The sequence below is a fragment of the Homo sapiens genome, chromosome 1 (genome assembly GCF_000001405.40).
Source record: "Homo sapiens chromosome 1, GRCh38.p14 Primary Assembly".
NCBI lineage: Eukaryota > Metazoa > Chordata > Mammalia > Primates > Hominidae > Homo > Homo sapiens.
This window is the reverse complement of record NC_000001.11, coordinates 211828130-211855218: the sequence shown is the minus strand read 5'-3', so window position 1 is coordinate 211855218 and position 27089 is coordinate 211828130. Positions and strand designations below refer to the sequence as shown.

Genomic DNA, 27089 nt, shown 5'->3' with positions numbered 1-27089 from the left:
CACAGGCGGCAGGATATCAAGAGGAGCACGTCAGTGGAAGAAGACACAAGTGGCTGGATGGTGAAAAGATGTCAAGGGGAGCATGCTGGCAGAAGAGCACATCAATAGATGTTGGCATGCCGATAGGCCATCGACAGGCGGGATGAGAAGGAGGTTTGCCTGGGGCAGTTGGAGGAGATCTGGGGCTGCCCAGCGGCCAGACTCCAGGGGAAAACCATCTCCCTTCTGGCTCCCCCATCAGCTGAGAGCTACTTCCATTCAATAAAACCTTGCACTCATTCTCCAAGCCCACGTGTGATCCAATTCATCCAGTACACCAAGGCAAGAACCCAGGATACAGAAAGCCCTCTGTCCTTGAGACAAGTTAGAGGGTCTAATTGAGCCGGTTAACACAAGCCGCCTATAGGTGGCAAAACTAAAAGAGCACCCTGTAACACACACCCACTGGGGCTTCAGCTGTAAACATTCACTGCTGGACACTGCCTTGAGGTTGGAGCCCCACAGCCTGCCCGTCTGTATGCTCCCCTAGAAGTTTGTGCAGTGGTGCACTGAAGAAGCAAGCCACACTCCCATCGCACGCCCTGCAAGGGGGACAAGGGAATTCCCATTTCAACAGTGGCTGGCATAAAGCTAGTACTCAATAAATGCTAGCTTCTTTAAGACTTAAATCATATTCTTCTTCAGTCTTTGAACTTTTTCAGGTAAATGAATGACTGAATTCCAAGAGAAATATATAGTCTGCAATGCAGTAGGTACACTGAGGCAGCTGGCTAAAAATTTTACAGGGAAATTTAAGTGATATGATAAAATATAAATTGCAGTTCATGGATAAGTATATTTTAGGATTAAACAAAAAATAAGTGAATATTTCCAAACACACCATTGAAGAGGAAGCTTACACATTGTAAAATGTGTGATGTAAGGAATTAAGTGGTTTCTACTAGCTTCAAAATACCATCATTAACTGATTTAGTTATGTCATATGACATAACTGACATATGCATTAACTGATTTAGTCATGTCATATGAAACATCACATAGATTACCTGTATTAACCATGAAATAAATGTTATGATCCAGAGTTACTAAGAATGAAATGGTTGGGGGGAAAGGTGGGAAACTGCATAAGTTATTAATAAATATGAAGGTGTGTTGTGGTTTTGAATGTAATAGCAGCTGTGGTTAATATGTGATCATATTCTAAAGTAATTAGGCAATGGTTAAATAAGCCCCTTAACAAATTACAATCAATCAGAACATTCAGGAGAGAAGTCTTGTTTTTTTGACTACTTTAGATTCTGAGGCCTCTTGGAGCAGAAAGTGGCAAGTCAAATATCTCTCGAAGTAGTCAAATATTTCTTAAGTGTGGTTTGTCTCTCCAAGAAGATATCATGTGGATATCATGTGTCTCCAGAGACAACACTCTGAAAAGGACATCATTTATGTATGATTCCAGTCAGAAATGCATAACCTGAATCTAATCAACAGACAACATCAGCCAAACACACAATAAGAGATGGTGCATAAAAGAATTGGCTTTTATTCTTTAAAATATGTCAATGTCATAAAGAACAAAGATAGACTGAGACACGGTTCCAGACTGAAGGAGAAAAAAGGCATGTTATTGTAAATATAAGATGTGATCCTGGATTGAATCCTGTACGGGAAAAAAAAGTAGCTATAAAAGGCATTATTGAGACAATCAATAAAATTGGAATATGTGTTATATATTAGATATAGGTATTTTATTAATGTTAAATTCACTGAATTTAATAACTGAACAGTGGTTATGTAAAGAGAATATCCTTATTCTTAGGAAATATACACTGAAGTTTTAAAGGCTATAGAGATGATATGCAACCTACTCTCAAATAATTTAGGAAAACATTTTTATAGACAGAGACAAACATTGATAAAGCAAATATAGCAAAATATTTAAAATTGATGAATCTTAGTAAAGCATATGTGAAAAATTTGGGGTTGTTTTTCCAACTTTTCTGTAAATTTGAGATTATATCAAAATTAAAAGTTAATTTTAAAAAGTATCCATGAATCACCTGAATCAGAATACTGGAGTATTTGCTACAGATGCAGATTCATGGGACCTGCCACTGACTACTGAATCAGAAATTCAGGGAGTGTGGACAGGAGAGGTTAGAGCCTGGAAATTTTCATTTACAAAAACATTCTTGGTGATTTTAATGTATACTAAAGTTTGAAAAACATTGGGAGTGTACTTCAATTAAAAATCAGTTGTGGTGTGGTGGCTCACACCTGTAATCCCAGCACTTTGGGAGGCTGAGGTGGGCAGATCACGTGAGGTCAGGAGTTCAAGACCAGCCTACCCAATATGGTGAAACACCATCTCTACTGAAAATACAAAAATTAGCTGGGTGTGGTGACACACACCTGCAGTCCCAGCTACTTGGGAAGTTGAGGCAAGAGAATTGCTTGAACGCGGGAGGCGGAGGCTTCAGTGAGCTGAGATTGCACCACTGCACTCCAGCCTGGGCAACACAGCGAGATTCTGTCTCAAAAAAAAAAAAATCAGTTATAATGTGGCTGGGTACAGTGGCTGACGCCTGTAATCCCTGCACTTTGGGAGGCCGAGGAGGGAGGATCCCTTGAGCCCAGAAGTTCAAGACCAGCCTGGGCAACACAGAGAGACCCTGTCTCAGAAACAAACGAAAGAATCATAATTATAATGCTTTCACTGGCCAATGCATTTTCTTTTCTTTTTGAAAAAGATTTTAAAACTTGAAACCTTTTAAACTTTATTCCATTTCTTATCTTTTAAATTTTTTATCTTAAAAAGAAAAAAAAATTTTCTAATTGTCCACCTGCCCTCCTTCAAGCCAATGCATTTTCTTAGCTTAATCAACTAAATGCCTTGAAGAATACTACTACTAGCTAAAATGTATCATGTGTTTATCATGTGGTAAGAACGATATATATTTTATTCAATTCTTGCAATAATTCCTATGAATTGCTATAATTATACTCCTTACAGTTAAGGAAATGGGATTACATACATTGCCAAGGTCATATAGCTATTAAGGGATAAAGCCAGGATTGGAACCCAAGGACAATCTGACTCTAGGGCCATACTTTTGCCACTCTGCTTTTGAGCCTTGCTAGGAAACCACATGGTAAGGTTATTGGCTTTGGCTATCATAAAATTGACATGTTATTTATCTCTTTTAAAGTCAGCCTTTAATTGCATATTAAGGAAGGAAGGAGTGGTGCAGCTAATACAATGAACATTATGATAGGCATAAAATTCCCCCTGCTAATCTTCCATCCTGGTGACAAAGCCTTGGCTCTGTGACTAAGATAAGGCTATACAGCCTGTTGTTTCTTCCTGAGCACTACTATGATTTTCCCATTGCAGAACCTTAGATACTCTTCAGCCTGCAGGTACCAAGCTGGGTGAGATATGGGTATACCTTCTTTAGAGATCCACCCTTGGCACTGGAGGATTTCTTCAATGAGGTAGAATGTCATCACAGTTTTAAACTAGGAAAGGAATTGTCCCCGATGAAACCCAGGAAGTGACTTGACTAAAATAAAAAGTAAGCATTGCCCAGGGTACAGCTCAGCCTCTTTTGGTACCTCCATTCTTCTGAGGTGCAGTTCTCTGCAACAGTCATTCCACAGAGAAAAGCCTGAGGTAGCTCACTGGACTTTCAACAATAAGCCTGTGAATTGAGTTGGGTGAGCATTAGTCTCACTGATAATATGGATAGATTTGGATTGAAAACCAGCCTCCCAATTCCACAAGCCAAGCTCTTCCATAAACCACAATGCCTCCTGAATAAAAGAGATCAATACTGAAAGTTTGTTGGAATCATGACCTCATGTGCTTTCATGTGTTTGTGCAGATTGATAAGTGCAACCCTTGCAGTAAAAAGTAAAAACGTGTTTTTTCAGCGGTGGCCAGCTGAAATGTAATATATAAAGAGTTAGTAATAATTTTTGTTGAGAGATTCATCTTTTCTAATGAGAAAAATGAAAAGCTTTCGGCAAAAAACACACCACTATTTTGAAAAGATTGATGAAGCACCCCCAGCTTAGCCCCACGACAGCACAGTTGTTGTAATCCTCCATAAGAACCTTCAGGTTGCAGGTGACATAATCTTATATAAAAAATCCTAAGAAATCCACTTAAAAACCATGAGCACTAATAAATGAGTTCAGCAAAGTTGAAGGATACAAGATTAATATACATAAATTAATTATATTTCCATATGCTTGCTATGAAAACTGTGAAAATGAAATTAGGAAACCAATTCTATATACAACAGCATCAAGAAGACTAAAATACTTAGGAATAAATTTAATAAAAGAAGTATAAAACCTGTACTCTGAAAACTACAAAATATTGTTAAAGAAGACAAAAGAATGAAAAGACTTAATATTGTTAAGATGGCAATACTCCCCAGGGCACTATAGATATAACACAATCCTTATCATAATTCCATCTGGCCTCTACAGAAATCAACAAGCTGATCCTAAAATTAATATGGTAATTCAAGGGACCCAGAATAGCTAAACAATCTTGAAGAAGAAGAATAAATTTGGAGGACTCACACATCCTGATTTAAAACTTACTATGAAGCTACAGTAATCAAAACAGTATGGTACTGGCATAAGGAGAGACAGTCATACAGATTAACGGATAGAAGTGAGAGACCCGGGCCGGGCACGGTGGCTCACGCCTGTAATCCCAGCACTTTGGGAGGCCGAGGCGGGCGGATCACGAGGTCAGGAGATCGAGACCATCCCGGCTAAAACGGTGAAACCCCGTCTCTACTAAAAATACAAAAAATTAGCCGGGCATAGTGGCGGGCGCCTGTAGTCCCAGCTACTTGGGAGGCTGAGGCAGGAGAATGGCGTGAACCCGGGAGGCAGAGCTTGCAGTGAGCCGAGACTGCGCCACTGCACTCCAGCCTGGGCGACAGAGCGAGACTCCGTCTCAAAAAAAAAAAAAAAAAAAAAAAAAAAGAAGTGAGAGACCAGAAATAAGCCCTCACATCTATGGTCAATGAATTTTGACAAGGGTTTTAAGACCATCCAATGGAGAAAAGGTAGTCTTTTTAACAAGTGGTACTGGGAAAACTAAATACCCATATGCAAAAGAATAAAGTTGGATACCTCCCAACCTTGTACCATATATAAAAATTTATTCAAAATGTAGGACTAAAACTTAAAGTCTTAGAAAAAGTAGGTATAAATCTTTGTGATCTTGAATTAAGCAATGGCTTCCTAGATATGACACCAAAAGCACAAACAACAACAACAAAATATAAATTGGACATCATTAAAATTAGTTTTGTGCTTTACCCCCAAAAAGGTGAAAAGAAGCCAGGAGTGATGGCTCACGCCTGTAATCCCAGCATTTTGGGAGGCCAAGATTAGAGGGTCACTTGAGTCCAGGAGTTCAAAACCAGCCTGAGTAACATAGCAAGAACTCGTCTCTACCAAAAAAATAAAAAATAAAAAAAATAGGTAGCCTGGTGTGGTGGTGTGCACTTGTGGTCTTAGCTACTCAGGAGGCTGAGGTAGGAGGATAGCTTGAGCCCAGGAGGTTGAGGTTGCACTGAGCTGTGATTGTGCCACTGCACTCCAGCCTGAGTGACAGAGCAAGACCTTGTCAAAAAAAAAAAAAAAAAAAAAAAAAAGAAAGAAAGAAAGAAAAGAATGTGAAAACAACGTGAAAAGAAAATCTGCAGAATGGGAGAAAATATTTGCCATATATACCTGATAAAGAAGTCGCATTTAGAATATATAAGATATTACAACTCAACAATAAAAAGATAATCCAATTAAAACAAAGCATCTCAATAGAGATTTCTCCAAATAAAATATACAAGGCCATGCGCGGTGGCTTACGCCTGTAATCCCAGCACTTTGGGAGGCTGAGATGGGCAGATCATGAGGTCAGGAGTTCGACACCAGCCTGGCCAACATAGTGAAACCCTGTCTCTACTGGAAATACAAAAATTAGCCGGGCTTGGTGGTATGCACCTGTAGTCCCAGCTACTCAGGAGGCTGAGGCAGGAGAATCTCTTGAACTCAGGAGGTGGAGGTTGTGGTGAGCTGAGATCATGCCACTACACTCCAGCCTGGGCAACAGAGTGAGACTCTATCTCAAAAAAAAAAAAAAAAAAAAAGTAATGCAAAATGGGGATATATTAGGCCATTTTTACATTGCTATAAATAAATATCTGAGACTAGGTAATTTATAAAGAGAAGTTTAATTGGCTCACGTTTCTAAAGGCTTTAAGAAAGCACGGTGCTGGCATCTGCTTGGCTTCTAGGGAAGCCTTGGGAAGCCTACAATCATGGTGAGGGCAAAAGGGGAGCAGGCACGTCACATGGCAAAAGCAGGAGCAGGCAAGGTGGGGGAGGGTGCCACACACTTTTAAAGACCCGATCTCTCGTGAACACAGTGTGAGAGTTCACTTATCACCAAGAAGATGGCCCAAGCCATTCATAAGAGATCCACCCCAATGATCCAAACACCTCCCATGAGGCCCCCCCCTCCCAATACTGGGGATTACCTCTCAACACGAAATTTGGGTGGGGACAAATATCCAAACTCTTTTTTTTTTTTTTTTTTTTGAGACAGAGTCTTGCTCTGTTGCCCAGGCTGGAGTGCAGTGGCGCCATCTCAGCTCACTGCAACCTTCACCTCCCAGGTTCAAGCGATTCTGCTCCGGCCTCCCAAGGTGCTGGGATTACAGGCATGAGCCATCGTGCCCTGCCAAACTCTATCAGAGGAAACTCCTAGTAACTCTTTTGCTTAATGTGTCTTAAGATGCATGAATTACAACTTACCTAGTTGATCAAAAGCTCATAAAGATGGCTGAAAATAGCTTTCCAGTTGGGGTCAGAAGACAAGTCCTTTTGTTGAGACTGAGGGGAGAAAATTTAGATTGAAGTTTAAAGTAAAGAAGACATTGTATTTGAAATGAGACAGGACAGGCGCCGTGGCTCACGCCTGTAATCCCAGCACTTTGGGAGACGGAAGCGGGTGGATCACGAGGTCAGGAGATCGATACTATCCTGGTTAATACCGTGAAACCCCGTCTCTACTAAAAAAAAAAAAATACAAAAAAATTAGCCGGGCGTGGTGGCCGGCGCCTGTAGTCCCAACTACGCGGGGAGGCTGAGGTAGGAGAATGGCGTGAACCCGGGAGGCGGAGCTTGCAGTGAGCGGAGATGCGCCACTGCACTCCAGCCTGGGCGACAGATTGAGACTCCGTCTCAAAAAAAAAAAAAAAATAAAATAAAAAAGAAAAAGAGACAAATGGGATGGGAAGCTGATCAAGGAGCTATAAAAGGCTTTCCAAGTGACTCAGGGCCTAATCGAGTTTGGAAGCCATGTTGTATTGTGTTGCCCTTCTGTACAGAGTTGTGTGATTTTTTTCAACTGAGCCCAACATCCTGTATATGAGTATGACAGAAAAAGAAAATGGATTCAAGGCCATCCCTCGTATTGTGGGGCAGGTGTAATATAAAGACTAGGGGAGGCAGGGTGCGGTGGCTCACGCCTCTAATCCCAGCACTTTGGGAGGCTGAGGTGGGTGGATCACTTGAGATCAGGAGTTTGAGATCAGCCTGGCCAATATGTTGAAACCCCATCTCTACTAGAAATACAAAAAATTAGCCGGGTGTGGTGGCGTGTGCCTGTAATGCCAGCTACTCAGGAGGCTGAGGCAGGAGAATCTCTTGAACCCAGGAGGCAGAGGTTGCAGTGAGCCAAGATCACACCACTGCACTCCAGCCTGGGCAACAGAACAAGACTCTGTCTCAAAAAAAATAGACTAGGGAACAGGTAAGTTGAAGGAAATAATGAGTTATTAAAGTGACAAGTGAGGTAATAAAAGCCCAGAGGAGAGATAGGGAGTGGGAGAAAGAAGAGTGGGGTGTTTCAAGGTAGCAGCAGTGAGGGAGTGAGAAATAGAAGACCAGGAGGTTGTGGTCAGAGGCCTAAATAATGGAGCTTAAGATGTCATAATCAAAGCAGTTCTGGGTGGTGACCAGGTCCAAGGTGACCCTGAGAGTGGATGCCATATAATTCCTAAATCTGTTTCTTTGGAGCCCCTAGATGATGGGGCAGCCTTTTAGCTTTTTGACTTAATCAATTATGCCAGAGCTGGAGGCAGGATTTATCACTACCTTTTAAAAGTAGAGAGAAACATATCTGCCGTTGCCATATATGCATTTGACTCCCAAGTAATCTAAATGTATACTGGTCACAATCATAAGATTTTCAGAATTATTTCATTCACATTATTTTTCATGTATTTTACAATAAAGTTAATTCAAGCTAAAGTGACTAAATGCTGCAGGATGAAATTGGGCTCTTTTATAGTAATACATAATAAAATTAAGATGTGCTAATTATTATGTTGCAAAGAAAACATATATGTACTTCATTGATGTAAAAAGTACAAAGAAGTGCTCCTGTGGGCTTATTACAGATTAAATATATTAAATTAAATATAGATTAAATAGATTAAATATAAACGGAGAAAAAGGAAGCAAAAAAGGCATTTAAGTGTAAATTTTTATTCCACATAAAGCATTTTCATTATTGTTTGCTTGGCTCAACTTCTTAATGGTAAAGCCACCAATTAGTTTTATGGTGCAAAAGAGTGCTGCAATTAAAAAAGTATTCAAAAGGTCTTCCAAAAGTTCATGAAAAATTCACATTATGAAAAACTATGCATGAATTTCAAATTTTTTTTTCACTGAAACAAACTCATACTAACTTGTTTGTGTCTGAACAGGATCTAGTTTGAGGCACTAAGAAGGCTATCAGTTTGATTTTCTCAAAATCCCAGTGGAAAAAAATGAAAAAAAAAATCAGTTCGAAAAGAGCCCCTATTGGAACAAATTCTGCTAAAATGAAGCAAAAAGAAACATCAAATTTATGGTGAAGCTTGGGTGAAGAATGTTGAAATCACTGATGCCTTATCAAAAGTTTATGGTGACAGTGCCCCCAAAAAAACAGCAGTTTACAAGTGGATAGCCCCAAAAAAACAGCAGTTTACAAGTGGATAACTTGTGTTATTAATAAGAAGGGTGAGACGATGTTGAAGATAAAGCCCACAGTGGCAGACCATCCATGTCAATTTTCAAGGAAAAAATAATCTTGTTCAAGCTGTAATTGAAAAGGACCAATGATTAACAGCACAAACAATAGCCAACACCATAGACATCGCAATTGGTTTGGCTTACATAATTCTGACTGAAAAATTAAAGTTGGCCAAGGCAAGTGGATCACGTGAGGTCAGGAGTTTGAGACCAGCCTGATCAGTATGGTGAAACTCCGTCTCTACTAAAAATACAAAAATTAGCCGGGCGTGGTGGTATGTGCCTGTAGTCCCAGCTACTGGGGAGGCTGAGACAGGAGAATTGCTTGAACTTGGGAGGCAGAGGTTGCAGTGAGCCGAGATCACACCACTGTACTACAGTCTGGGCAACAGAGCAAGACTCCGTCTCAAAAAAAAAATAAAGTTGAGCAAACTTGCCACTCAATGGGTGCCAGAACTGTTGTGCTGAGAACAGTTGCAGACAAGAGCAGAGCTTTCAATGGAAATTTTAAATAAGTGGGATCAATATCCTGAAGGATTTCTTTGAAGAATTGTAACCGGAGATGAAACACAGCTTTACTAGTATGACCTTGAAGACAAAGCACAATCAAAGCAATGGCTGCTAAGAGGTTGAAGTGGTCCAGTCAAGGCAAGAGCAGACTGGTCAAGAGTAAAGGTCAGGCCAGGCATGGTGGCTCACGCCTGTAATCCCAGCACTTTGGGAGGCTGAGGCGGGTGGATCATGAGGTCAGGAGTTCAAGACCAGCCTGGCCAAGATGGTGAAACCCCTGTCTCTACCAAAAAAAAAAAAAAAAAAAAATTAGCCAGGCGTGTTGGTGGGCGCCTGTAATCCCAGCTACTCAGGAGGTTGAGGCAGAGAATTGCTTGAACCCTGGAGGCGGAGGTTGCAGTGAGCCGAGATCGCACCACTGCACTCCAGCCTGGGTGACAGAGTGAGACTCCATCTGAAAAAAAAAAAAAAAAAAAAAAAAAAAGAGTAAAGGTCATGGCAACAGTTTCCTGGGATCCTCAATGCATTTTGCTTGTTGACTTCCTGGGGGGCCAAAAGAATGACAACATTTATTTATTATGAGAATGTTTAGAGATAGCTAAAGCTTTAGTAGAAAAATGCCTGGGAAAGCTTCACCAGAGAGTACTTCTCCACCACAACAATGCCTCCGCTCATTCCTCTCATCAAACATGGGCAATTTTGTGAGAGTTTTGACGGGAAATCTTTTTTTTTTTTTTTTTTTTGAGATGGAGTTTCGCTCTTGTTGCCCAGGCTGGAGTGCAATGGCATGATCTCGGCTCAGCGCAAACTCCACCTCCCAGGTTCAAGCAATTCTCCTGCCTCAGCCCCTGAGTAGCTGGGATTACAGGCATGCACCACCATGCCTGGCTAATTTTGTATTTTTAGTAGAGACGGGGTTTCTCCATGTTGAGGCTGGTCTCAAACTCCTGACCTCCAGGTGATCTGCCTGCCTCAGCCTCCCAAAGTGCTGGGATTACAGGCGTGAGCCACCACACCCGGCCTTGATGGGAAATCTTTAGACATCCACCTTACAGTCCTGATTTGGCTCCTTCTGACTTGTTTTTGTTTCCTAATCTTTAACAATCTTAGGGCACCCATTTTCTTCAGTTAGTAAAGTAAAAAGACTGCATTGACATGGTTAAGTTCCCAGGACCCTCAGTTCTTTAGAGATGGACAAAATGGCTGGCATCATCACTGATAAAAGTGTCTTGAATGTGATGGAGCTTACGTTGAGAAATAAAGTTTATATTTTTTATTTTTATCTTTTAATTCCATTTTTCTAAGAACTTTTTGCAGTCCACTCATATACACTGTTATACCTATTAAAAAGGTGAAAAATATTCAAAGAATGTTAAGGTTATTACAAAACCACAATGACAACCATAAGTAAACAATAATTTCCTTCACTATGTTTAGTGCATGAGTTTAGAAATCTGATAGAACCAATGAATATTTGCAAGTACAGCCAGAAGCACAGTTCTCATACCAATAAACCTAGATAAGTAGCTCATGGAAACGACTGGAACACTTACTAGCAGGAGGAAAAAACATTTTAGAGCATATCTAGGTGAAAGATTTTCTTGGCTTCATTTATAGCGAATCTGTGTGGGGTTAGGTATGGTTGTTAGGCTACAAAGAAGATCAATTTCCTTGGGGAACACAGTGATCTGAGGTGGTTGAAATGCCTAAAGGCAGCAAGTTAAAGAGACATAACTTTTCTTTATAGCCTTTGATTTCGGAAACCAAGGCTCAGACCAGATAGTTTATTTGAGCATACCTCGTTTTATTGCACTTCACTTTATTGTGCTTTGCAGATATTGTGCTTTTTACAAATTGAAGATTTGTGGCCACGCTGTGTTGAGCAAGTCTTTACAAATTGAAGGTTTGTGGCAACGCTGTGTTAAGCAAGTCTAACAGTGCCATTTTTTCCAACAGCATGTGCTCACTTCTTGTCTCTGTGTCACATTTTGGGAATCCTCACAATATTTTCAACCTTTTCATTATTATTATATCTGTAATGGTGATCTGTGATCAGTGATCTTCGATGTTACTATTGTAATTGTTTTGGAGTTCCAAGAACCTTGCTCATAGAAGGTGGGTGAACTTAATCGATAAATGTGTGTGTTCTGTTCTTTCCACCAACTGGCCATTCCCATCTTTCTTCCTCTCCTTGAGCCTCCCTATTCCTTGAGGCACAACAAAATTGAAATTAGGCCAATTAACCTACAATGGCCTCTAAGTGAAAGTGAAAGGAAGAGTTGCATTTTTCACTTTAAATCAAAAGCTGGACATAATGAAGCTTAGTGAGGAAGGCAGGTTGAAAGCCAAGACAGGCCAAAAACTAGGCCTTTTTCACCAGTTACCCAGGTTGTGACTGCAAAGAAAAAGTTATTGAAGGAAATTAAAAGTGCTACTGTAGTAAACACATGAATAAGAAAGCAAAACAGGCTTACTGCAGATAGGGAGAAAGTTTGTGGTCTAGATAGATCAAATCAGCCACAACATTTACTTAAGCTAAAGTCTAATCCAGAGCAAGGCCCTAACTCTTTAATTTGATGAAGGCTGAGACAGGTGAGGAAGCTGCAAAAGAAAAGTTGAAAGCTAGCAGAGGTTGGTTCATGAGGTTTAAGGAAAGAAGCCATTTCCATAACATAAAGTGCAAAGTGAAGCAGCAAGTGCTGATGTAGAAACTGTAGCAAGTTATCCAGAAGATCTAGCTAAGATGATTGATGAAGGGGGCTACACTACACCCTAGATTTTCAATGTCGACAGAATAGATTTATATTGGGAGGAGATGCCATCTAGAACTTTCACAGCTAGAGAGAAGTCAATGCCTGACTTCAAAGCTTCAAAGGATGACTAAGGCTCTTGTTAGGGACTAATGTAACTGATGACTGGGCAGAAGCCAATGCTCATTTACCATTCTGAAAATTCTAGCCCTTAAGAATTACACTAAATTGACTCTTTCTGTGCTCTATCAATGGGACAACAAAGCGTGGATGACAGTGCATGTATTTATAGCATAGCTTACTAAATATTTTAAGCCCACTGTTGAGACTTAACTGCTCAGAAAAAAAAATCATTTCAAAATATTACTGTTCATTGACAATGCACCTGATCATCCAAGAGCTCTGATGGAGCTCTTGTTCCATCAGATGGAGTTTCTACGTCAGCACTTGCTGCTTCACTTTGCACTTTATGTTATGGAAATGGCTTCTTTCCTTAAGAAGATTAATGTTGTTTTCTTGCCTGCTAACAAAGTATCCATTCTGCAGCCCATGGATCAAGGAGTAATTTTGACTTTCAGTTTCTATTACTGAAGATAAATATATTTCATAAGGCTATATCTACTATGGATAGTGATTCCTCTGATGGATTAGGGAAAAGTAAATCGAAAATCTTCTGGGACGGATTCACCATTCTACATGCCATTAAGAATGTGATTCATGGGAGGAGGTCAAAATATCCACATTAGCAAGAGTTTGGAAGAAGTTGATTCCAACCCTCATGGATGACTTTGAGGGATTTAAATCTTCAATGGAGGAAGTCATTGCAGATATGGTAGAAATAGCAAGAGAACTAGAATGAAAAGTGGAGCCTGAAGATGTGACTTAATTGTCACAATCTCATGATCAAACTTGATTGGATGAGGAATTGCTTCTTATGGATGAGCAAAGAAAGTAATTGTTTGAGATGAAATCTACTTCTCCTGGTGAAGATGCTGTGAACATTGTCAAGATGACAACAAAGGATTTAGAATATTACATAACTTAGTTGATAAAGCAGCGTCAGGGTTTGAGAGGACTGACTCCAATTTTTAAAGAAATTCCACTGCGAATAAAATGCTATCTAACAGCATAGCATGCTACAGAGAAAGCTTTCATGAAAGGAAGAGTCAATCAATACTGCAAAATTCATAGCTGTCTTATTTTAAGAAATTGCCACAGCACCTCAACCTCCAGCAACCATCACTGTGATCAACCAGTAGCCATCAACATGGAGGCAAGACCCTTCACCAGCAAAAAATTACAGCTTGCTGAAGACTCATAACTGTTAGCATTTTTCAACAATAAAGTATTTTAAAATTTTTTAGACATAATGCTACTTTACACTTAATAGACTACAGCGTAATGTAAACATAGCTTTTATATGCACTGGGAACAAAAAATATTTTATCACTCGCTTTATTGCAGTGGTTTGGAACCAAAATTGCATTATCTCAGAGGTATGCTTGTACTTTGGATAAAGAAAAATCCTCTTATATAGACCCCAGTGTTTTAGTGCTCAAGAGTAAATAAATTAGAGTAGTCCTATGTAGAATTTGAATCCAGATCTCACTCTTGTACTTGAGTTAATCCATGCAGTCTTAGAAGCAGCATTTCCATCTCTCACCATGACCTGCCAATTTTACCCCTAAATTTCTCTCAAGCCCATCCTTTTTCCCTCAACTCCACCGTCATCACCCTAGCCCAAGCTACCATCCTCTCTTGTCTGGATACTGCAATAATCTCCTAACTGTCTTATCAATTGCACTCCTTCCTTCCTACAGCTAGTTTTCTGTAAGACAGCCAAAATGTAATATTTAGGAAAAAATCAGATCATATAACTGTGAGGGTGACCAATCCCTTGGTTTGCCTGGGGCTGTTCCAATTTTAGCACTGAAAGTCTCACATCCCTCAGTCCTAGGCAAACTGGGATGGTTGGGCACCCCAGGATTCTGCTCAAAACCTGCCAGCACCTTCCAGTCATCCTTGGAATAAAACCCTTTATGATGGTCTGTGAGGCCCCATAGAGTGTATCTCTTGCCTACCTCTCCAGCTCATCTCAGACTAGGATCCCCTTGGACTCACCACTGTGGGTGCACTGGTTTTATCTTAATTTTGAGAATTCATTGTGATCTTTTTCACCACATGGCCTTTGCCCTTCATTTCCCTTCAGAGGATGTACTTTCTGCCTCTCTTAGTTAACTCAGGTTCATCCTTCACATCCCAGCTTAATTGCAATTCACTACATTAGGTTCCTCTAGTACAAGCTCTCAGAATATTCTGTTCCTTTCCCTCAGGTCACGTGCCTCAGTTTGTCATTCTATAATTTTCCATTAGTAGTTTTATGTCTGACTCCCATACCAGCCTGTAAACTCTTTGAGTGTAAGAACCATGTGTGTTTTGTTTATCACTGTGGATTTGACTCCTAGAATGTGCCTGGCACATATAAAAAGGGGTTCAATAAATATCCACTTCAGTTCCACTGCTAATGTCACAGGTCAGACTTGAGATTTCTGAAGCATTTCCCTGCCTCTAATCTATTCACCTTCCAAATCATAATACCCATTAGTGTCATGGTAATCTTATAGATGTGGATGCCCTGTATATTTCCACAGATATCACTGTGTCCCATACTGGTCTGCTGATCTGCCCTTGTATATAATTAGAAAAGGTACATTTATTAAGAGTATACTATGCACCAGCACTGTGCTAAATACTTTATAAATTTAATATAATTTGCACCTCACAATCACCCTTGAGGGACATTCTTCCTATTTTACATGCGAGGAGACAAAGGCTTAAAGAGATTAGGTAACTAATCCATTACCACATAGAGTTTGTAAGAGATGCAACCAGAATGGTACCTGATGCATAAACCCTTGCATTTTTGTCTTTCAATTGCATGTTTTATTAGTTATAATTAGGCTTGGCTGTACATGACAAGAAAGTCCAAAGTACAATAGTGGCTTAAGTGGGATAGAAAATTACCTCTCTCTCATGGTTTTCCTCTGGTCTCTCCTGTTAAAGAGACCAGAGGAAAGCAGTTCAGGATTAGGATGACCTGATCATCAGGGATCCACACACGTGTTGTTTGCTCTCCCTAGCTTGACTTCCACCTTCAGGTCCAAAATGGCTACCTGGGCTCCAGTTTCCTCATCCCTATTTAGTTAACAGGAAAAAGGAAGATGTGTCCCTCATCCTCTAAGGATACCCTAGAGAAGTCACAGCTGACACTTCTGTTTATATTTCATTGGCCAGATTATAATCATATGATCAGATCTTACTGCAAAAGATGCTGAGAAATACAGTCCATGCTTTTGTTGTCCATAGGCTGAGCTTAAAAAAAAAATCCTCCTATAAGGAAGAAAGAAAGAATGGACATTAGGGGAAATAACAGCATCTGCCAAACACACGCTAGAGCAGGTTCTACTTATGACTTTCAAAATTATCTACAATTTAGTTTCATCCTACATAATGTTCTAGTTTTCCACCTCTCAGTCATTTTAAACCATTGCCACAATGGGCCACTCACCTCTCTGTTTCCCAGACATATCAAACTCATTTTCTATTTTACTCTCCTTGCTTTTTCTCCTACTTGGGAGGGCTTCCTGTCAACCTACATAAATTCTACCCACACTTTACTGATTAGCTCATTTTAGAGGAGGTTATCCTCTAAAAGTTTCCTCTATGTTAGCTTTCTGTCCCCCAAATAGAATGGAAAAAGCAAAGTTGTGGGTACATAGCAAGCACCTAATAAATACTTACTGATTAATATATAAAATAGCCTTACTTAACTCCTTTAATTCTTATGTGGAACACTGCTTTATTCAGGATTTTTCAGTGTTAGTTTACACCAGGGGACTTGTGTAGTCCCTCTCCCCTTCTCTTGTGAAAATACAGGCACCTAATGAATATTTATTAAGTACATGTTTGATTTTATTTTATTGTTTTTGGAGACAGGTTCTCCCTCTGTTGCCCAGGCTGAACTGCAGTGGTGCAATCATGGCTCACCGCAACCTCAAACTCCTAGGCTCAAACACTTCTCCTGCTTCAGCCTCCCCAGTATCTGGGACTACGGGTGCATGTCACCATGCTGAGCTAATTTTTTGTAGAGACAGGATTTCGCTATGTTGCTCAGGCTGTTCTCAAACTCTTGGCCTCTCAAAGTGCTGGGATTACAGGTGGGAGCCATCACACTCCACCATTAAGTACATGTTGAAAGCCCCCATTGTTCCAGGTTATCCACTTAGAGCTCTCACTTGGTTTCAATTTCTGAATCGATGTGGTGGTATTTGCTATATTGTAGGGCACTACTTCTCAAACTTTATATGCATACAGATCACCTAGGAATCTTATTAAAATGCAGATTCTGATTCAGGAGATCCAGGGTGGAGCCTGAGATTCTGTATTTCTAAAATATCCTAGGTGGGGCTGGGTGCAGTGGCTCATGCCTGTAATCCCAGCACTTTGAGAGGCCAAGGCAGGAAGATCGCTTGAGGCCAGGAGTTTGAGATCAGTTTGGGCAAAACCCTGCCTCTACCAAAAAAACAAAAAACAAAAAACAAAAAACAACAACAACAAAAAACATGCAATTAGCCACGCATGGTAGTGTGTGTGTCTGTTGTCCCAGATACTTGGGAGGCTGAGGTGGGAGGATCACCTGAGCCCAGGAGGCAGAGGTTGCAGTAAGCTGAGATCACACCACTGTACTCCAGTACACCACTGGATAACAGAGTGAAACCCTGTCTCAATAAATAAATAAACTTAAATATAAATAAATAAAAAATAAATAAAATAAAATATCCAAGGTGATGCCAATGTTGGCAGATGTAAATAGCAAGGCTGTGGAGATCCTCAGATTATCTGCCCCAGATCACATGAAGATGCATTTTAAAGCAAAAGATCCCTGGATCTCACTTCAGACCTATGGGATCAGAATCTCTGAGATGGGACCCCAGAATCTGCATTTTAGCAAACTCTCTAGTAGATCTTCATATACACTAATATCTGAGTTTAAAAAGAACCCTAGATGATTTTTATGATTAGGCCTGTTTATGAGTAGGCAGCTTTTCGAAATAATGCCATTCAGTTCAGCATAACATGGAGTAACTGAAACTACCAAAACTTAAGAAACTGAACAATGTATTAATATAACTTGAATGGTTCTAAGTTTTTTTAAATCCCATACTTTAAGCTGCAGCATTTTAGCATCACTCTTTTGCCCATAGCTTTGTTTGATTCATAGCACTTAGAGCAGGAGAACCTCCCCCGCCCCACTTTGGGATTTCTCATGGCTGTAGGCTTCCCAGCAGCTGGTTCCAAATTAATTCAGATCTCTACTTCAGCTTATGCTTTGAAGATAAAATTTAAGAGAAACAAAAGGTTTGAAATTGTGTTTCATAAAATATTTCTTGAAGACATTTCAAGAGAAAATCACTTGTAAAGAAATTCTTTCCTTAACCTTATTCTTATTTCTTTTAACCAATAAGTACCTGCTTACTTAAGGGAGTTATTGATAGCATCTAACAAGATTGTGTGTGTGTGTGTGTGTGTGTGTGTGTGTGTGTGTGTGTGTGTGTGTGTGTAAGAACTTTGTCAACTGAAAAGCACTGGAGAAATGCAAGGTGGCATGACTTTCATTACAACAGAGTATTAGCCAATAGGCTTAGCCCCAAAATGATAAATTAATCTTAAACATACAGTTGGAGTAGGAACAGAGAGAAAAGTTCTGCTCAAATCCCTTACGATTTAAGCCGATGTGATGAGAAGCATGGAAAGAGCCAAGCTATACGACAGAAGGCTTGGATAAGAGGGGGAAATTTAACCCAGGTAAGGACAACTAATATGGTTTAGAGGAAACATTAAACACCACTATCAACCCTGAATGTCTTGTTAATCTCTGATACATCAGATCATCAGGGAATAGGTAGAGCAGATCAAAACGTGGGGAGGGAGGGGAGCAGGGAGGCTGGATCTCTGTAACCTAAGGGACTGTATGGGGACCCAGGAGTCAGGAGACCACACGTAGGGCCACCAACCATTTGCCAGGACTGAGGAATTTCCTGGGATGCGGGACTTTCAATAGTAAAACTATGGGTAAAGTCCTGGGTAAGCCAGGATGAGCTGGTCACCTCGATACCATGCCAACTTGATTTCTGGTCTACTCTATGATGAACAAGCTGCATAAGTTCTCCACAACTTATTTTCCCCGTTCATAAGTGGAATTACTCTGTGTTCCTTTCCTTCCTTCTTTCCTTCTTTATTTCTTTCTTTTTTTTGAGAGAGAGATTTGAGAGAAGAGTCTCGCTCTGTCACCCAGGCTGGAGTGCAGTAGCATGATCTTGGCTCACTGCAACCTCCACCTCCCAGGTTCAAGCAGTTCTCATGCCTCAGTCTTCTGAGTATCTGGGATTACAGGCATGTGCCACCACAGCTGGCTAATTTTTGTATTTTTAGTAGAGATGGGGTTTACCATGTTGCCCAGGCTGATTTCGAACTCCTGGACTCAAGTGATTTGCCCACCTCAGCCTCTCAAAGTGCTGGGATTACAGGCGTGAGCCACCACATCCCGCCCTGTCTTCCTTTTCTACAAAAAAGAAAAAAAAATTCCTTTCTCTTGTCAAATACCACTAAATTACACCACCCCAACACTAGAACAAAGATGTTCCAATTATTTTTTTTTTTAACTTGTTGGGGGCCGGGTGCGGTGGCTCACGCCTGTAATCCCAGCACTTTGGGAGGCTGAGGTGGGTGGATCACGAGGTCAGGAGATCAAGACCATCCTGGCTAACAGGGTGAAACCCCGTCTCTACTAAAAATACAAAAAAATTAGCCAGGCATAGTGGCGGACGCCTGTAGTCCCAGCTACTCAGGAGGCTGAGGCAGGAGAATGGCGTGAACCCAGGAGGCAGAGCTTGCAGTGAGCCAAGATTGCGCCACTGCACTCCAGCCTGGGTGAAAGAGCAAGACTCTGCCTCAAAAAAAAAAAAAAAAAAAAAAAAAAAAAAAAATATATATATATATATATATATATATATATATTTGTGGGGAAATTCAGAAACTTAGGTACTTAGGAGATAAAAGTTTCCAGAAGTTAGGGGCTTGCTGTCAATGATAGGACTTGAAGTTACAACATGAAAGAAAGCTTGAGATGTGAGATTCAGTGGTCTCCTGGAGATGCAGGTGAGGACAGAGGAACAGGGTAGAAATCAGGGCAAATAGCTTAATCTCCCCATTTGTACAACGTGGGTAACAATACGGTCCTTTTAAAGTCATTGTGGGTTAGGTGCGGTGGCTCATGCCTGTAATCCCAGAACTTTGGGAGGCTGAGGCAGGTGGATCTCCTGAGTTCAGGTGTTCAAGTCCAGCCTGGGCAACATGGCAAAACCCTGTCTCTACAAAAAATACAAAAAAATTAGCTGGCCGTGGTGGCATGCATCTGTAGTCCCAGCTACTTGGGAGGCTGAAGTGGGAGGATTGCTTGAGACTGGGAGGTGGAGGTTGCAGTGAGCCGGAGATCAGGCCACGGCACTCCAGTATGGGAGACAGAGCGAGATCCTGTCTCAAAAAAAAAAAAAAAGTCATCGTGAAGATTAAATGAATTAATGTATGTAAAGCACCAAGAACATGGCCTGGATTGTTGAAAGTGATCAATAAGTGCCAGTGATTATTATTATTTTAACGTAATATTTTGAATCTTATGTTATGAAAATGCAAGTTTAAATCTGAACTATGTCTTTTTTTTTGAATTTGCTTTTTTTTGGCATTTTAAAATTCTATTCTAAATGTTAGGATTCTTTTTTTTTTTTTAATACTTTAAGTTTTAGGGTACATGTGCACAACGTGCAGGTTTGTTACATATGTATACATATGCCATGTTGCTGTGCTGCACCCATTAACTCATCATTTAGCATTAGGTATATCTCCTAATGCTATCCCTCCCCGCTCCCCCCACCCCACAACAGTCCCCAGTGTGTGATGTTCCCCTTCTTGTGTCCATGTGTTCTCATTGTTCAATTCCCACCTATGAGTGAGTGAACTATGTCTTATTCATAGGTGTACTATGTGATTTTATAGGTTCTGTGAGTAGAAGAACTTGCCAAAATATCCTTCTCCAAAACATCTTACAAATATACTCATCCATTACAATACCTGATAATCTGCCAGCAGAAATACATTAAGGCTTTGGGGGTTTTAGTTTCTGTATAAAATACTAATGCTTTAGGAAGAGAGTTCTCTCTTCCATTTTTTAGCCATAAGCCCCTTGTCATGGATTAGCTGACCACACCAGGAAGGGGAGATAAGGATTGAGCCAAGGAAACATAACATTGGACAGGTGAGAAAGAAGGTTCTAGCTTAGAGTATTATCTGTTTGGGGAGCAGGGGGAGGCCTCATGTGGAGTCTTCAGGGCCCTTTGGAAACTAGGGATAATTTTAGCCTTAAGAAGGGAAAAGAGAAGCTAGCCGAACAGGAGAGGAGCATGGAGGAGACACAATTGTTTACTTTATAGTATTGTTTAGGGTCAATCATGTTAATAAAAAGAATTGCTGAAATGGCTGAGAGTTGCAGTCAAGTCTGGAGGATTTTTTTTTTCTTTGAGACAGAGTCTTGCTCTGTCGCCCAGGCTAAAGTACAGTGGCATGATCTAGGCTTACTGCAACCTCTGTCTCCCAGGTTCAAGCAATTCTCGTGCCTCAACCTCCCGAGTAGCTGGGATTACAGGCGGGTGCCATAACGCTCGGCTAATTTTTGTATTTTTAGTAGAGGCAGGTTTTCGTCATGTTGGCCAGGCTGGTCTCAAACTCCTGACCTCAAGTGATCTGCCTGACTCAGCCTCCCAACGTGTTGGGATTACAGGTGTGAGCCACCACACTCAGCCAAGTGTGGATGATTTGGCTCACCCTATCTGAAAAATTTTAAGGTTATAAGCCCTGGAGCATTTTATATAAAATAATTATTGACATGAATATAGAAGAGAACATCCATATATATTTCCATTTTTTGTTTGAAGTTAAAGCTGACAACAGTCAGAATGCATGACTCTTTTGGGCTGCTGATTTCAAGCCTGCAACTGTTTCCTAGCAATGTAGGGGGCCTGTGCCAAGTCATTGAAGGTTATTGCTGGTAGGGTTTCTCCCTAGACAGGAAATAGTTCACTGGAGCTTTAGTGCAGAAACCAACACAGGTAGGTAAAATGTTTTTATAATTGCCACTAGGAAAAAGAGAGGGCCCAGGGGGTACTCTTCTGCCCAAGGGAACCTCTCCCTGGTTATAACCTAATTTGTTGTGTGTATGTGGACTAGATGGGTGGAATTCAACCTTCTAAGGTATTGTGGTTATATTGCTTTCAAATGACTGGCGATTCCAAGAAATGTAAGAAATCCTCTTTCTTTTTCAAAGGACCATTCTCTTGTGGTTCAAATGTGGGCTTTTGAAACAGAAACAATAATGTCTGTGGCTATAGGGTGGGGTCTGTTCATTTCCCTCTTTTCTCTATTGGAGTGTACATGAAGGTGTTGAAATTGTTGGCTTCATGTTTGTGTTTTGATAAAGATGGCTCTAAGGTAGCAGGATAGGGGACTAGAAGCTAACTAGTCATTGAAGAAGATCCTTGTTTTCCACAGAACAGTCTACCCTGGAGAACTGGCTGTTCCAATCTTCCTGTTACAGTCATTCAGAGCATTCATACATCTCTCTGTCCATGGTGCAATAAAATAGGCTATGGAACAATCTCAGGAGGCTTCCTAAGTGGTTGAAAGGAGGCAGGGCAAAAAAATTGTAGTATAGGCAAGAGGAAGGTAAAACTAACTAAAACGAACTTCGAAATGCAAGAAATAAACACAAGCATCATCTGAAATTGTTCCCTTAAGAAGTCAGCCCTAACAGTTTCTTATCTATTATAGCAGCTGAATTATCTTGAAACTGATATTGTGGTCAGAAAGTTAAGAAGATAACCCCTCTCCTACACTCTTGGCACAAAACCAGGGCATATCTATACCTGGAACATAATGTGTTGTACTGTTGGTTGAGTTTCAAGAAAAGTCCAATGAGGTTGGAAGCAGTTAATATGAGGATATCTGAAAAGATCAAGGAGATTAGGTATTCCCTACTCCTTCCATAAGGAGGTACTGAAATGGCAGAATTCTGCAATGAGAGATGGTGATCAGCAAGCCGAGGGGACAGGCCTCAGAAGAAACCAGACCTCCCCACACTTTGATCTCTGATCTTGGCCTTCAGAACTTCGAGAAAATAAGTTTCTGTTGTTTAAGCCACCCAGTTTGCAGTATTTTGTTATGGCAGCTCTAGCTGACTAACACACATGAGAACACATATGATCAAATGATTTAAAATTATGAAGGGTCTAGAAGAGAATGTGATCATCTCAGAATACCTCTAAGTCAGGGTTTCTTAAAGCAAGGTCTGCATACTACTTGCATCAGAATCACCTATGACGCTTTTTAAAAAGCAGGTTCTCAGGTCCACTGGACCTAGATTATTAAAATGTTCTGGTATGATGCTGAAGAATCTGTCTCTTTGGTAGACACTTCAAGTGTTGTTTTTGTACACTAAAGAGCCAGAGGTCCTGCCCAACCTCTGGCTCTTTTCTGAGCCTGAAAATGAATTCTGGGCCTGGTACTAATTGCATTTCATCAAGTGCTGCTGTGTCTGGTCCTCTGGCAGATGGTCCCTGATCCAGGAATCACGTGTAAATCCCATTGTAGGTTATCTCTCTCCAGGTGTCAGCCAACGTTTACGCAGCATGTGGGAAAGCTGAATTGCATGGACCAGATGGAATCCTTAGAGTTTATTCTTGATTGTGGAAATAAATATGTACCTCACCTATCTTACTGAAGAATATAATGACATATTTTGAATAATAAAGTATATATATTATCTCTCTCATGAGATTTATTTAAAGATCTTACTACCTTGTCAATAAAGAGAGAATGCAAGGAATAGAATGGGGCATATCTTTCCTTCACCTGTGGACCTAAGAGGAACTGAAATTAGAGAAAGTTGAGAGTCCAGAGCAAACGCTGTGATGAACATTTTCAAAATAGGCAGAATAGGTGGCATTCTGATTCAAATATGGCAGTTCCCTAGGGAGTGTGAAATCTGCCCTGCCCCATCCCCTCCATTTACAAATGTGCTTAAGGGACATAAGGTTTTATAAACAGGATTTTTAAAAACTAAAATTTAGGCAGATCATTTAAGAATGCTCAAGGGGGTAGGTCAATGGACTATTTCTCTATTTTCCTTCAGGTGGTCCAGCCTTTGAACCAGAATGCAGCTATAGTATCCCAAGTGACGGGGTCTGTCTAGGAGTTCCCATGGCCACTGTTTTTTGTCTTTTCGGTTTTTCTTTTTATGGCGGGCGGGGGAGGGCGGGCGGGTGAGTACTTACTTAATGCCAGGCACTTGGTTGTTTTTTCCTTCTTGACTAACCAGATTTCAGTTTCTCTGTGTAGACCATTCATTCCCACTGAGTTTCTTGGTGGGGTGGTGGGGGCGGGGGCGATGAATGGGAAAGTGGAATTGCCATTAATGTTCCAGCTGCTTTCCTGAAACAAGACTTTTGACCGTAAAAAGAATGAATTTGAAACTCTAGACAATAATACACTGCAGAGGTTAAGAAGAAAAGCCATGAGTGCAACCGGGTTTCATTAAGAATGAAAAGTGGACATTTAGCCGTCAAGGAGACAGGTTCCTAGTTTGGGCAGAGAAGAGAGCCCTAACAATGAAAGGCGGCCGTGTTGGCTGAAAGGGGGCTCTCAACTGAAACCAAGGCACTCCTGGGGTGTGAGGATGGGTGTTCATTCCTAGATCTTTCCGAGCGGCCCTTTCCCTCAGTATGTTCTGGACTCACTGAGGTCCTGGCCGAGCGTCCAGGTAGCCCCGAGGGCCCCGACTCGCTGGCGCAGGGGTAGGGGGAGCGGGCCAGGCGGGGCAAGCGGGCCAGGCAGCGGCGGCGGCGCTTTCATTAGAGGGCGCTGTGGGAGCGGCTCCGCCGCAGTCCCGACTCCCGCCGCTTCCTCCCGCCGCCCCTCCCCGCCAGTCCGGGCGAACGCGGCCGGGCCCTTGGGGACCGAGTCTCGGCGCCGCCGGGGAACGGGCGCGGGCCGCGCCACAGCCGGAGCGGGGCAGGGCCCCGCCACCGCCTTCTTCCGCCGGCCCCGCCGCCGGCCATGCATTCTTCCGGCTCCTCTGACTCCCAAAGCCCCGGCTGGGGCCCGGCCAGCCCGAGGTAACCTCCGGCTCCGCGGTCGCAGGCCCCAGAGCGGCAGCGGAGCCGGGCCAGGGGAGGCGCTGGGGGCGGGGAAGGGGGTGTCGTCGTCGCGTGGCCCGGGGAGGCGGCAGCGGCCTGAGGGACGAGGGCGCGGTAGGCCCCGGGGAGGAGGCGGGGGCGCGGGGCATCCGCCCGCCTCCCCGGGACCCGCCCGGGTGACAGGTCCGGCCTCTGAGTCCCCGCCGTCCCTCTGTCCGCAGGCAGCCGCGAGGGGAGTAGGGCGCCAGCGCGCCCGCTCGCGCAGCGCCTCGGGCCGCTTGGGCCGCCACCGCGTCCATGACCGCGACCCCTCGGCGGGGGACACCCGCCCCCGCTCTCCGCAGCCGCCCGCCGTCCGCGCCCGCCGAGGTGAGCCCGGCGCGCGGGCCGCGCCCGCCGCCACGACCCTTCCACATCCGCGGAAACCGCTGCAGGCTCCACCGGCTCCCCGCGCTGCGGTCGCCTCTTCTCTGCCCCTTTCATCATCCCCTGCTTCCTTGCCCTCTGGTCGGAAATCTCATTCTCTTCATCCCCAGTTCCTTGGCTTTTACCTCTTTCTGGCTTTTGCTCCCTTCCCCCTACTCCTGTCCTTCCTCTTTTTCGCATTATAACCCCCTACTTTCTTCCTCTCACCTTGTAAGCTTTTTTTCTAGGCCCCCCATTTTTTTTCTTAAAAAAAAAAGGGAAACAAAAACCCTATTGCTACAAATGAGAATTTTGAGGGTAACTCTTCGCTAGAGCCAGAGACCTTTTAAAGGAATGCATCGGTGTGCAGGAATCGTGGTGGTGAGGAGACTGAGGTCCTCAGTATCTGGGAAATCTTATTGAGGGGACCCTGTTTCGGTCATGTCACTTGTGTCTTCAGTTTGGAGATCCTGAGGTTGTCTGAAGCGAGTGGATCTATTTTTCTAAGTCCAATAGACGACCGCAGTGAGACACGGTGCGGGGACGGCCACCGATTACTGAATGGGAATTGTGTTATCATTTGCTAAATATATTGTGACATACTTCGTGCCTCGGTGAACAGCTCCCTTGACCTTGTGCGGCTCCTCCTCCCTCGCTCTCTGTCCCCCTCTGGAATTTCCCCTGAGAGATCACCGAGGTACTACACCCGGAAAGCTTCGACCCTCGCTGTTTTATTTTGTGCTGGGGGCGATTTCTATGTTGGTGACTGTTTAGATGTATTTAATGAATTTTCCTTTTTAAGTGAATTTTTCTTTCACCCCAGAAAGACAGGACGGAGTCCAGTGTGAGAATGGCTATAACTTTGGAAGAAGCTCCGTGGCTGGGCTGGCTCTTGGTGAAAGCACTGATGAGGTTTGCCTTCATGGTCGTCAACAACCTGGTTGCTATTCCATCCTACATCTGCTATGTAATTATACTTCAGCCCCTTCGAGTGCTGGACAGTAAGCGGTTCTGGTATATCGAAGGAATCATGTATAAATGGCTTTTAGGAATGGTAGCTTCCTGGGGATGGTATGCTGGATATACAGGTAAGAGTGAGAACACTTTTCTTTAATGCATAAGAAAAAATTTGTCAGGAACCATGATTAAATGTATATTACACTTTGGGTTGAGGATGCTTTCATGTCTTCACTATTGAAAAAAATAAAAAGAAAACAGTTCTATTGGGTTTCTCTTCAGAATCTCAGGAAGACCAATGTTTTCAGAAGTATAATTTCATAATTATGTATTGGTAAATTTCTTAGTGTTTTTATTGTGATTGACATACATTTATTAAAACTGGTCTGCAAAAGCTCTGGTAGAGGAATAGGAGTGCGTTGTATAGGACTCGAGAGCTTATAAAGTGAAGATGTAAGATATTTCATCTATTTCATGGAAGATGCCCATAAACATTGGAAATTTAGAAAAAGAATGGGACCATATTTGTGCTAAGATAGTTTAATAAGTTTCTTCATCATTTAACGTGATATTGTACTGTTAGCCTTTTGAGCAAGCAAAAATGGCTTTCTTTTCTCTTACGTATGTTTCTTTTGTTTATTAGAATCTATATTTTATCTCATAAATCTGAGAGTATTAAATATAAAAAATTAAGTTAACTTTGTTAAGCTAATTTATCTTCTGAGTGTCTTTAAATAGATTGTGATTTCTGCCTTTAAATTGCATTTGGGGAAGCAAGAGTAACACTATTCAGAAGTGGACTTTTATAGAACTAAATGAGAAGTGTTTATTTTCTGAGATAAACCTTATATGCTTTGAGAACTTATGCCCTTGCTGTGAAAATTCTGTATCGTTTATTGTATTTATTTGATTTTTTTCCCTTAAGAATTAAGATAATGAAAAAATCATAGAGGTTTTTAGCACTTGTCAGATGTGGAGGCTTTTAGCACAGAAATTCCTACCTGATAGGCAGGCTCCTTGAAGATCATGCAGATGCTGTGGTCAGTAGAGGCTGTAGTTC

General features: G+C 41.8%; 1 protein-coding gene and 1 long non-coding RNA gene across 13 annotated transcripts in view, besides 1 other annotated feature; one reads left to right on the top strand and one right to left on the bottom strand.

The window, feature by feature from the left end:
• LPGAT1-AS1 (LPGAT1 antisense RNA 1) lies at nucleotides 1516-25582 on the bottom strand. Of its 3 annotated transcripts, NR_135820.1 has the most exons (6): nucleotides 24179-24258; nucleotides 23807-23963; nucleotides 15686-15755; nucleotides 3613-3698; nucleotides 3447-3516; nucleotides 1516-1657 (listed from the first exon to the last, which is right to left on the bottom strand). It is a non-coding gene; the product is annotated as an LPGAT1 antisense RNA 1 (long non-coding RNA). The 3 variants fall into 3 exon arrangements; NR_135819.1 differs by lacking the exons at nucleotides 1516-1657; nucleotides 3447-3516; nucleotides 3613-3698; nucleotides 24179-24258 and adding exons at nucleotides 8557-9172; nucleotides 25301-25373 and having other exon boundaries at nucleotides 23807-23974; NR_135818.1 differs by lacking the exons at nucleotides 1516-1657; nucleotides 3447-3516; nucleotides 3613-3698; nucleotides 15686-15755; nucleotides 24179-24258 and adding exons at nucleotides 8557-9172; nucleotides 25416-25582 and having other exon boundaries at nucleotides 23807-23955.
• Nucleotides 24272-25031: a silencer, noted in NCBI's record as "silent region_1792". NCBI's record gives its function as "represses an Ori minimal core promoter by ATAC-STARR-seq in GM12878 lymphoblastoid cells {active_cell/tissue: GM12878}" and the evidence as "EXISTENCE:reporter gene assay evidence [ECO:0000049][PMID:35858748]".
• The window catches only part of LPGAT1 (lysophosphatidylglycerol acyltransferase 1), an 87307-nt gene continuing 84673 nt past the window's right edge, over nucleotides 24456-27089 (top strand). Inside the window, exons 1-3 of one of the 10 annotated variants that reach the window (NM_001375841.1) lie at nucleotides 24456-24646; nucleotides 24889-25036; nucleotides 25900-26160. In NM_001375841.1, the coding sequence (NP_001362770.1) occupies nucleotides 25923-26160 (238 nt within the window). In that variant the 5' untranslated portion in view covers nucleotides 24456-24646; nucleotides 24889-25036; nucleotides 25900-25922. Of the gene's footprint in view, nucleotides 24647-24880; nucleotides 25770-25895; nucleotides 26161-27089 lie in introns of those variants that run through there. The other 9 variants (NM_001375844.1, XM_047436132.1, NM_014873.3 and 6 more) reach the window with 9 other exon arrangements.